At 42.1% G+C, this 11,622-nt stretch overlaps 1 protein-coding gene and 1 long non-coding RNA gene across 7 annotated transcripts in view, besides 2 other annotated features; one reads left to right on the forward strand and one right to left on the reverse strand.

Annotated features, from left to right (window-relative positions):
- RPL34-DT (RPL34 divergent transcript) overlaps window positions 1-1,086 on the reverse strand; it is an 82,268-nt gene extending 81,182 nt beyond the window's left edge. The window contains exon 1 of the long non-coding RNA NR_026968.1: window positions 937-1,086. This is a non-coding gene — a long non-coding RNA (RPL34 divergent transcript). The remainder of the gene's footprint in view (window positions 1-936) is intronic.
- Window positions 743-1,942: an enhancer, noted in NCBI's record as "P300/CBP strongly-dependent group 1 enhancer chr4:109541270-109542469 (GRCh37/hg19 assembly coordinates)". NCBI's record gives its function as "activates an origin of replication core promoter dependent on BRD2, BRD4, P300/CBP, MED14 and CDK7 cofactors, with strong dependence on P300/CBP, by STARR-seq in HCT116 cells {active_cell/tissue: HCT116}" and the evidence as "EXISTENCE:reporter gene assay evidence [ECO:0000049][PMID:35650434]".
- Window positions 1,168-1,217: an enhancer, noted in NCBI's record as "active region_21798". NCBI's record gives its function as "activates an Ori minimal core promoter by ATAC-STARR-seq in GM12878 lymphoblastoid cells {active_cell/tissue: GM12878}" and the evidence as "EXISTENCE:reporter gene assay evidence [ECO:0000049][PMID:35858748]".
- RPL34 (ribosomal protein L34) lies at window positions 1,205-11,113 on the forward strand. 6 transcript variants are annotated; one of them, NM_033625.4, is made up of 6 exons: window positions 1,205-1,341; window positions 2,580-2,653; window positions 2,734-2,833; window positions 3,144-3,247; window positions 5,757-5,882; window positions 10,650-11,113. In NM_033625.4, exons 2-5 carry the CDS (start codon window positions 2,589-2,591, stop codon window positions 5,839-5,841), a joined length of 354 nt encoding a protein of 117 aa, NP_296374.1. In that variant the 5' UTR covers window positions 1,205-1,341; window positions 2,580-2,588; the 3' UTR covers window positions 5,842-5,882; window positions 10,650-11,113. The 6 variants fall into 6 exon arrangements, with proteins under 6 accessions (NP_296374.1, NP_000986.2, NP_001306161.1 ...); NM_000995.5 differs by having other exon boundaries at window positions 1,205-1,229; NM_001319232.2 differs by lacking the exon at window positions 10,650-11,113 and adding an exon at window positions 2,260-2,325 and having other exon boundaries at window positions 5,757-5,999.
- The last annotated feature ends 509 nt before the right edge of the window (window positions 11,114-11,622 follow it).

The raw sequence follows: 11,622 nt of genomic DNA on the forward strand, positions 1-11,622 counted from the left end.
AGATGGCAGTGATGTGAGGCTTGATAGAATCAATAGGCCTCACAGTTCAAGACAGACTACATGCCCTCAGTCACTTGCCTGCTTTCTTGGTTTGCTAGATGGATTAGAAATACTAGAAGGAAAGTTGAGTGGGTACTGGGATATCCTATCCAAATCCTCTCTTCTGGGGCAATGCAGCTGCCTCACAGCAACCACGTTGTGGATCACCTGACCCCGCCTTTCTCAGCTTCCTGGAGGTGCATTCTAAGAGCGCTCCCCATAAGCCAACACTCAAGTCTCTTCGAGGTGTGTTTCCAGGGAGCCTGATCTAAGATTAAAAACTTAAAGGCCCCTTTTAGAATTGTCTTTTACAGCCCAGGCAAAGAGTTCTTTACTTTTTTAGAGGTCATGAATCCCTTTGACAAGGTGATGAAAGCCAGGGACCCTCTTCTCAGAAAAATACACACGTGCGCTTAATGTAAAATTTTACATACTGTTTTAAAGGTTAAACTTTACCACCCATGAAAAGCCTCAAGTAGTTCTTTGTACATAATCATAAGATTAGCAACCATTTACTGAGCACTTCCTCTCTATAAGACCCTGTGCTAAGTGCTTTAACTTCATAATGCCTTTGATCATGACATAACATGGCACGGTAGTTCCTAATATCTTCCTTTTAGAGATTTAAGGGCTTGCTCAAAGTAACATAGCTAATAATTAGCAGACACTGGATTAAAATCCCAATTTGTTTGTAAAGCTTGTGCTCTGAATAAATGACAAGGAAAGAGAAGGGAAGGTTGAAGAAGGGAAGGTTCTTGAAGGTCCCTGGTCCTTGAAGGTCCCTTAACCATAAATGTCAAGAGTTGGGATTTAAACCCAGGTCTAACGCCAGAGCTGGCGCCCTTTAGATTAAAAGTGCAGTGTCCATGACAACGAAAGAAGTTGATTTTGTCCCACCTTTGCTCTTTGCGGCTTTTCATTTGCGTTTGTTTCCACAGCGATTTCCAATAGATTTCTGCGTGGCCTTGACACAGACAGCTAGTGTGAATCCCCGCCCACAGAGGGGCGGCACGTTGGTTGCCGTACAACGTGGTGGTTCCCTGCATCTCTGCCCACGTCGGAGAGGTGCGTCGGCTTCCGTACAACACGGATACTCTCTCTCTGACGCAACTTCCTGTCCTGCGCAATTCTATTTGACCTTTGAACTGGCAAAGGCTTTTTTCTTCCTCTTCCGGGGACGTTGTCTGCAGGTATGGATGTTGTTCTCTTTTCCCTGTCTTTATTTCCTTACCAATCGGCTGCCATCCGAGGAGCTGAGGAAGCCTAGAGCTCTCAGAAGCAGTCCTTTGAGCTGGTGTAGGGGTAAGGGGCACAACAGGGAGGTTGGTGGTGAGGAAGTTCCTTACTTTGATCTTTGGAAATCCCTTGTTCCTGGTGGCACCTCCAAAGCCGTGAGTAGCCACAGCTCACCACCCGGGACTTTGCTGCATTCCAAGTGTAGCGTTTGGAGACTAACGAGTTGTGGTTTGGCGGTTTGAGTCTGGAAAATCGCCAAACGTTTTCATATTTTACACCCACGTTTTCACAGCACGCCTGTACGTGTCCTTAGTCTTTGGGAGGGCAGGGTCCGGCGAGTTCGGGTGGTTTCGCTATTTGGCTTCTGCGTCCAAGGCCCATGTCAAGGAAGAGAAAAATGTGTTAGAAGTTTCTGTCTTGCTTTTGGAGATGCAAACAGAATAATGGCTTCATAAATCACTCGCACTGGTTTTACGTGTCAAGTTTTGGTGTCTGGTAATTCTGTTTTAGTTTAATTTTAGTGAGAGGCTTGTGACAACAAATGAGGTGGTTACAAGGGGTGGAATGGGAAGATTAAATTAGTTCAAGTATTGATTATGTTTTACGTTGGGTAGTTCCCTTAACGAAGTTGCTCGTATGCATATCTGTATAACCGATTTGCTAAATAACATCACGATGTTTCCAGAAGTGGGAAGAAAGCAGGTGCCATAACCCAAAGAAACTTGTGTAATATCAAAATTAGTATTAAAGGGTATGCCTTTACGCAGGTGGTGCTTTAGGGCAAGACATTGAACCCTGATATGTGCCAGGCATTGTGTTGGGACGGATAGCCCACGTCGTTTAATCCTAATGACAGCTGTATAAAGTAGACAGAATTCCCATGTTAGAGATAAGGAGGCTAGCTCCTTGCCCTTTATATTCCCAGTAAATGGCATAGCTAAGGATTCGACTTCAGAGCTCACTTTTTGTGCTCTTTGTTTAAAGCGGTGTTTCTCCAACTGGGCTCGTGGCACTTTTCTGGACACCACTCCAAACAAAATTAGACTCTGAGTAAGGAGCCTGGTCATCAGAACGTTAAGGAAGTGCCACGTTTGATTACCATCAGGAAAGCTAACATTCTTGGCCTCTTGTTTATCAGTCACCTTTAAATACAAGTAGTTTTAAAATGTGGAATAATACATCTTAATTTAAGGGTGTTACATACAAGGATATGTATGTGAATGAAATAGACCACATGATACTGTTTTGAGATTTTATTTACTTTTACAATGGAAAGATTTGATGTTACTCTATTCTTAATTTAGGCACTCAGAATGGTCCAGCGTTTGACATACCGACGTAGGCTTTCCTACAATACAGCCTCTAACAAAACTAGGCTGTAAGTATTTCTGAAAATTTTAAGTATATATTGTCATTTACTCTACAAAATGCTGACCTACTGACTGTTTCACTTTCTAGGTCCCGAACCCCTGGTAATAGAATTGTTTACCTTTATACCAAGAAGGTTGGGAAAGCACCAAAATCTGCATGTGGTGTGTGCCCAGGCAGACTTCGAGGGGTAAGTGTACCTTTTACTGTGTGCAGCCTAACAAGTCTTGAACTTACTGAGCTTTCATCCCTTGACGATGGAATGAATCAAGGAGAGGTTACCACTAAGAGGGTTCAGAATTACTAAACATTCATGAGCCAAATCTGCCACGAACATAGACTTTTTAAACCAATCTGAGAAATGCAGTGAAATGCCTTTCAGATAAATGAGTACACCATTTCCCTTTGTAACCTACTTTAAACTTGCCCTTAACACTTAACAAAATTTAGGGAAATTTCTGTTAAAGCATCACAAAAATCTTAATATTTTTCTTATGCAGGTTCGTGCTGTAAGACCTAAAGTTCTTATGAGATTGTCCAAAACAAAGAAACATGTCAGCAGGGCCTATGGTGGTTCCATGTGTGCTAAATGTGTTCGTGACAGGTAAGTTAAATGCTTAAATGGGCTTTCCTTAGCAAATTATTGTGTGTGTTATACTGTCTGCTGATCAGTACAATGGTGAAGCAACTCATTTTAAACCAGTTGCATGCTTTAGAACCCTTTCTTTGCTATGGATAATTGATGCTGCACAAAGCAGGAAATGATATTCAAAGTAATAATTTGGGGGCATATTTATGCTAGATGTGGAGATTAAAAGGAACTTGGTTTTGTTCAGGAGGTGGGTAAGAAAGTCTCTGTTAGTGGTTTGGACAAAGATAGATGGAGTGTGGAAGGTGTTAAAAGTGTAGGAACAGAAGAGTTGTGTATTCTCATGTGCGGAAGGTGTTAAAAGTGTAGGAACAGAAGAGTTGTGTATTCTCATGAGCATAGGGTTGCAGGAGATGATGGACAACAAAGGTAGAAAAGCCAGATTATGGCCAGGTGTGGTGGCTTATGCCTGAAATCCCAACACTTTGGGAGGCGGAGGCAGGCAGATACCTGAGGTTGGGAGTTTGAGACCAGGCTGACCAACATGGAGAAACACCGTCTCTACTAAAAATACAAAAAGGTAGCTGGGCGTGGTGGCGCATGCCTGTGATCCCAGCTACTCAGAGACTGAGGCAGGAGAATTGCTGGAAGCTGGGAGGCAGAGGTTGTGGTGAGCTGCGATTGCGCTATTGCACTCCAGCCTGGGCAACAGGAGCGAAACTCTGTCTCAAAAAAAAAAGGGAAAGAAAGAAAAGCCAGATTATGAGGGGCTTTACAGAATAAAAGGTAGATTAGCTTAATTCTTTTATTGATTGATTGATTTTGAGATGGAGTCTCGCTCTGTAGCCCAGGCTGGAGTCCAGTGGTGTGATCTTGGCTCACTGTAACCTCCGCCTCCCGGGTTCAAGCAATTCTTCTGCCTCAGCCTCCTGAATAGCTGGGACTGCAGGCACATGCCACCACACTTGACTGATTTTTTGTATTTTTAGTAGAGACAAGGTTTCACTGTGTTAGCCAGGATGGTCTCTATCTGACCTCATGATCTGTCAGCCTCGACCTCCCAAAGTGCTGGGAATACAGGTATAAGCCACCGCACCCAGTCCTAGCTGAGTTTTTAAACCAAACCTTTTGACACCAAATGCAGGCTTCATTCTGCATTTTAGGAGGTAGATTGTAAGAGAACAGTAGGAGATACTACATTAATACAAATAGGGGATAAATATAGCTTCTGTGATACACAGCAAAGCTTAACTATGATTGAAGTTTAAAGGAGAAATTACTTGCAAATAACTAGGAATGGCATTTGAGTTGGAACCTAAATGATGGGCAAATTTTGGACAAAAGGCAGAAAGGGCATTCCAGGCAAGGAAAGTACGGACTGATCTGGCACATTGTGGGTGAGAAATGGAAGTGTACATTGGAGATAAGTCATGAGTTTTAAGCTGAAGAAGTTTGGCTTTTTTTCCCCCAGTCTTTGGTTCTAAAACTTTGCTGAACACAAAATCAGATGGGCACATTTATTAAAAATACAAATTCTCGGGCCTTATCTCCTGAAGATTTGAATTTAGGTTTACAGGATAGCCTAGAAATTAGCATTGTTAGCTGTGATGCTGAGCAGGTCTGCATGTGGTCTGTGCTTTGAGTAAGTTAAGGGAATTTTTAAGTGATTCAGTTGTATGTGTCTCTGATAGGATCACATGGGGGAGATTTGAAGAAATTAGAAAACCCAGAGTTTTGAGGGTAGGGTTTGATAACCAGGTTTACCAATGGGAAATGGGGTGGGGGAAGGTTTAAGTTGAAGCAAGAGGAGTGCTTTAAACTCTGGTGGTAACTCTGATTTAACAAATGCTAGGAAGACCTGCTTTTTGCTAGGTCCTGTGCAACACTGTAATGATAGTGATCCATAAAATGCACTCCTAGATGGAGGCTCAAAGTCTAGAAAATCTTTCCAAATTTAATCCTCATAAACTCCCTGTTAAATACGTGTGAAACTATTTTGTGCCTTAATATAGAGAAGGTAACTTGTCCAGTGTGCAGCTAGTGTGTGGTGGAGTTGGCCGTAAACAGGTTCTAAAATCCTTGCTCTTGGTGAGGTGTCTCTTGCTAATATCCCTTTACCTTTTAATTTTAGTTCTTAACACATAGCCCCTTATGTGTTGTTTTTTACTGGGAATTTTCAAAAATATGGTTAAAATATTCTAAGACATTTTGCAAATCAAGAAATACCACTATTCCTGGATCCTAACAATAAATTAGAGCTCTCATAAGTGGTCTCCTGTGGGGATGACTTCATAGTTTATCTTGACTCAGAAGGAGGACAGATAACTACTGGCATGAAATTGAAGGATTATCCTGCTTTAAATGAATTTCACCTTTTAAGTTTTACTCTGTATTTGTGTATCCTGTAGTTTCCTGGGTTCCCTGATTGCTTTGCTTGGTTCTTTACCATGTTTGCCTTCTCTGTGCTAAATAAAAAATGAAGTTCATTTTAAAGAAATGATTAATTTGGTATTTTCCTTTCTAGGATCAAGCGTGCTTTCCTTATCGAGGAGCAGAAAATCGTTGTGAAAGTGTTGAAGGCACAAGCACAGAGTCAGAAAGCTAAATAAAAAAATGAAACTTTTTTGAGTAATAAAAATGAAAAGACGCTGTATGTATGACTTTTTTTTTTTCTGTTGTAATGTGTTAGTATACAGATTTTGTTTCTGTATGGTATTTGGGGACCCTATAGTTTTTAGCAGATTACTTTTTCTTGTTTTGTTTGTTGTTTGTTTGTTTTTGGTTTGGTTTGGTTTTTTTGAGACGGAGTTTCTCTCTTGTTGCCTAGGCTGGAGTACAATGGCAGGATCTCGGCTCACCGCACCCTCTGCCTTCCAGGTTCAAGTGATTCTCCTGCCTCAGCCTCCCAAGTAGCTGGGATTATAGGCATGTGCCACCATGCCTGGCTAATTTTGTATATTTTAGTAGAGACGAGGTTTCTCCATGTTGGTCAGGCTGGTCTCAAACTCCCGACCTCAGGTGATCTGCCCACCTCGGCCTCCCAAAGTGCTGGTGTTAAGGTGCGAGCCGCAGCACCCAGCCAGTGGGTTACTTTTTCTGAAGAAACAGTTGGTGGTCACTGATGGCCAGAATTTTTTTGGTGACAGCTCTACCGCTGCATTGGAGCATAATGTCCTTCTCTTTGTGGGCTGAGACTTCAGGGTGGTTTGGGAGGAATGGCCCTTCTATTTGAAACTTTAATATCCCTTTGATCCTTACTATGGTATCTCCTTTACGTCAGCAAGTTTCATAGGATAGAAACCTTGGTATTCTAGTTCCTTGGAATGGAACCTTTTTAAGATTGTTTTTAAACCCTCTGTTCTTTTAGGTCACTTCAGTTCAAAAATGGTATCTTGGAGAGCTCAGAACTCCTTATTTAACAAATGAGTGAGCTACTATATATAAAACCTTGGGTCAAGGGTATAGTTTCTGATCTACATTGGATTTATTATCCAGGCCAGAATGTTAAAATACAGACCTCATTTTTCTTGGGAACTATGTAGTGTTTCTGCCAGCTCAGACAAGGTTTCACTCCTGCTGCCCAGCCTGGAGTGCAATCTTGGCTTGCTGCAACCTCCACCTCCTGGACTCAAGTGATTCTCTGCCTCAGCCTCCCAAGTAGCTGGGACTACAGGTAGGCACCACCATGCCTGGCTCATTTTTGGTTTTTTGAGAAACAGTTTCACCATGTTCCTAGGCTGGTCTCAAAACTCCTGGGCTCAAGCAGTCTGCCTGCCTCAGCCTCCCAGCGTGCCAGGATTACAGGCATGAGCCATTCTTCTGCCCAACCTGTTGGCTGACAACCTTTTTTTTTTTTTTTTTTTTTGAAATGGAGCCTTGCTCTTGCCCAGGCTGGAGCGTACTGGCTCGATTTCGGCTCACTGCAACCTCCACCTCCTGGGTTCAAGCAATTCTGCCTCAGCCTCCTGAGGATTACAGGCGCCCACCACCACACCCGGCTAATTTTTGTATTTTTAGTAGAGATGGGGTTTTGCCATATTGGCCAGGTTCATCTTGAACTCTTGATCTCAAGTGATCCGCCCACCTTGGCCTCCCAAAGTGCTGAGATTACAGGCGTGAGCCCTTGCACCCGGCCAACACCATCTCTTAAAGCCATAACAAGCTTTATTCCAATCTGAGTAGAGAGCAGAGACCTTGAGCCATCATGGAATGCAGAAGCTGAAAGTACCTGGGGAGTTCAGTAAATTTTGACTATTTTCCTCAGTTGAGGAAAATTTACCTACTAACTGGCATGATGTAACTACTTAAGCAGAGGAGAGTTACCGCTTAGCTATACATAAGAACATGCTTTTCTGGCTGGACGCCGTGGTTCATGCCTGTAATCCCAGTACTTTGGGAGGCCAAGGCGGGCGGATCATGAGGTCAGGAGATCGAGACCATCCTGTCTAGCACGGTGAAACCCCGTCTGTACTAAAAATACAAAAAACTAGCTGGGCGTGGTGGTATGCGTCTGTAATCCCAGTTACTCGGGAGGCTGAGGCAAGAGGATTGCTTGAACCCGGGAGGCAGAGGTTGCAGTAAGCCAAGATCGCGCCACTGTACTCTCGCCTGTGCGACAGAGCGAGACTCGGTCTCCAAAAAAAAAACACCTTTTCTTAGGCCAGACCCAGTGGCTCACCCCTATAGTCCCAGTCTCAACACTTGGGATGCTGAGGCAGGAGGATCACTTGAGGACAGGAGTTGGAGACCACCCTGGGCAGCTTGGCAAGACCCTGCCTAAAAAATAATTAAAAAATAAGAATACCCCTTAAGGTAAAAGGCAAAAAAAATGGGATTTCATAACACCTTTACTGTACCCCACTGCCAGTTAACTTGTTCTTGGTATAAAAAATTTTTAATTAGTGTTTTGCAGAAGAGGAGTCACAGAACTAGTAAGTGGCAAAGCTGGCAGTTGAACTCCCTTTTAAGAATTTAACCGCCAGGCGCGGTGGCTCACGCCTGTAATCCCAGCACTTTGGGAGGCTGAGGCAGGTGGATCACCGGAGGTCAGGAGTTCGAGACCAGCCTGACCAGTATGGTGAAACCCCGTCTCTACTAAAAATAACAAAAATTAGCCAGAAGTGGTGGCATGCACCTGTAATCCCAGCTATCAGGAGAATGAGGCAGAAGAATCGCTTGAACCTGTGAGGCAGAGGTTGCACTGAGCCGAGATTGCACCACTGCACTCCAGCCTGAGTGACAGTGAGACTCCTCAAAAAAAAAAAAAAAATTTAATTTTAACCACAGTACACTTGATTGGCTGTGTGCCTGACTCCACCAAATTTGTTTTAGTCCTCCCAGCAACTCCAACAGCTTTATTCCCATTTTACTGATGAGAGAACAGACACAGGTTATAGAAAACCCAGAGCCATTTGTATTGTTGGTAGGATTTTTGCAGCTGTGTTAGTGAATAAGTGTAATGACCGGGCACCCTAATAAATGCTAGCATAATCAATGATAGCTGGGATCCCTGTTGTCAACATTCATAGTCTCAAACGATTGAGATACATTAGCTTTCTCCAAACACCTGCCAATCCCAAAGATTGTTAAGCAACCAGGATAATAGAATTAATTATCTTGTATAATGTTTAATCACAGTATTGAAAATATAAAACGGGGATAGAATTGAAAAGCTTGAATTCTAAGGCAGATTTACATCACTTTCTCATGATTCAGGCTTATATATACTGCACCAAGCAGTTCTGTGACTGTGTTTTATTGTATTTGATATAACCATCTAAAAATTGGCACTTTTAATAATATACTCAGACAATAATGTGGCTTAAAACTTAAACTAATTGGCTGCTCTGTAGGCCAGTCTAGTTTTTGAAAGGTTTGAGATGTAATTTCTGAAAAAATTGCTGTGGAAGAGAAAGCCTATTTGCCACCCCAACCTGAGTTCTTGCTGGTGGAAGGAGGCTCCTCCCTCTCCTTGCTGCTCCAAGTTAGGTAGAACAACATGACTGGACACAGGCTCTAGCTGGTGGGAACTAGCAAGTTTCAGCAAAATATGAAATGGGTGACCTTTGAGAAATGTAAGGAAGTTAAAGAATTGAGGTGTACATTCTTTTCCAAGAATTCTTGGTATGTTAAATGGTTTTACTTAACAAACAGCTTTGTAGACTATTTGGAAAGTTTGGAAAAATAGAATGATAAAAAATCTCAATTTCACTACTTACTATTATTATTATTATTTTGGAGACAGAGTCTCACTCTATCACCCAGGCTGGAGTGCAGTGACGCGATCTCAGCTTACTGCAACCTCCACCTCCTGGGTTTAAGCCATTCTGCCTCAGCCTCCCGAGTAGCTGGGATTACAGGCGCCTGCCACCACATCTGGCTAATTTTTGTATTTTTAGTAGAGACGGGTTCGCCATGTTGGCCAGGCTGGTCTCGAACTCCTGACCTCAGAATGTCCGCCCGCCTCGGCCTGCTAAAGTGTTGGGATGACAGGCTTGAGCCACCACGCTGGGCCACTACTCAGTCATTTTTAATAGTTGAATGTTTTTCCTCCCATCTTGTTTTCCATGAATAAAATAGACATTTTAAGTCAAAACTGGAAGCCCACTGCATATATAAACTTTTAACTCCTTTTTTTCTCCCACATAACCCCTGTGATATTTCTTTTCAAAGAATATTTTAGTAGCTGCCTGCAGTATGAAATTTACATGCTATAATTTAGACATTCCCTTTATTTTGAACATTTGGGCTATTTCCAGTTTTTCTCTATTTTAAAACATGAGCCTTCTTATATATCTGATTATTTCACTTATGCTGAATTGTTTTTTAATATTCACAAGTTGGTGTTGAAGTTCAGTATTTAGAAGACAAAGAGCATTGACGGGTGTGAACATAGTAACGACTCTGTCCAAGTGACCCAAATGGATTCTATAACTCTTCTGGGTTTTGATTTTTGTAAAAAACAAAATGAAGCTCTTATTGAATCCAGTTCTATGTGTGTGACAAAGTATTCTTGACAGGTTCCTAAAAAGACATGTGAATGTAGTCAGTGGTTTTCTTTTTAAAGTCTAATATTTCTCCTTCCGTTGAATTGCTTATAAATTCTGTTAGAAGGTTGAAAGGGTTCTTTTACCCTTAAAAATATAAAATCTCCAAATGTTTAAGTAAGCAAATCAAGTTTGTTTTAGCAACTTAATAACATCCTATAATCTTTACCCCAGTGATTAAGAGCTTGGGCTTCCAGAATTTTGATAGTCAGGGCTATGTCCAACTTTCACTGTAAACTATGCATCTTATCAAACCAACTAAAATCACATATAATCCTCACAGAGTAAGATTGTGAAGCAGTTCTGAATGTTATGATTTTTCCCTAAAGTATATTATTTATTGCCGGTAATAATTATTCTGCCATTATTAGGTCCAATAGAAAAAGTTGGTGTGCTGGAGCTACCTCACCTCAGCTTGAGAGAGCCAGTTGTGTGCATCTCTTTCCAGTTTTGCATCCAGTGACGTCTGCTTGGCATCTTGAGATTGTTATGGTGAGAGTATTTACACCTCAGCAAATGCTGCAAAATCCTGTTTTCCCCCAGAGAGCTGGAGGTTAAATACTACCAGCACATCCCTAGATACTACTCAAGTTACAGTATATGATCACTAATATAGTATGCTCTTGGTACCAGGAGCTCTGATATATATCTGGTACATGTTTGATAATGACTTGATTGTTATTATAAGTACTTATTAATACTTCGATTCTGTAAAGAGTTTAGGGTTTGATTTTATAAAATCCAAAATGAGCCTTTTATTGAATCCAGTTCTCTATGTGACCAGTTCTCTGTATGAATGGAAGGGAAAAGAATTAAAAATCTTGCAAAGGGGAAAGTTCCATCTTCTTAAAAACTAGATGTGGTAAACAACTATTCTAAACCAGGAGTAGAAAAGCTAACACTATCTGGCTGGACACGGTGGCTCACACCTGTAATCCCAGCACTTTGGGAGGCCAAGGTGGGTGGATCATGAGGTCAGGAGATGGAGACCATCCTAGCTAACACAGTGAAACCCCGTCTCTACTAAAAATACAAAAAATTAGCCGGGCATGGTGGCAGGCGCCTGTAGTCACAGCTACCCGGAGGCTGAGGCAGAAGAATGGCGTGAACCTGGGAGGTGGAGCTTGCAGTGAGCCGAGATTGCGCCACTGCACTCCAGCCTGGGCTACAGAGCGAGACTCCGTCTCAAAAAAAAAAAAGAAAAGAAGTTAACATTGTCTTTATGAATCTCATTTCTATCTCAGCTAGTTCATGCTACTGTAACTACCACGGACTGAGTGGCTTGAACAACATTTATTTCTCACTGTTCTGGAAGCTAAGTCCAAGATCAAGGCACTGGCAGAT

The sequence above is a fragment of the Homo sapiens genome, chromosome 4, assembly GCF_000001405.40.
Source record: "Homo sapiens chromosome 4, GRCh38.p14 Primary Assembly".
NCBI lineage: Eukaryota > Metazoa > Chordata > Mammalia > Primates > Hominidae > Homo > Homo sapiens.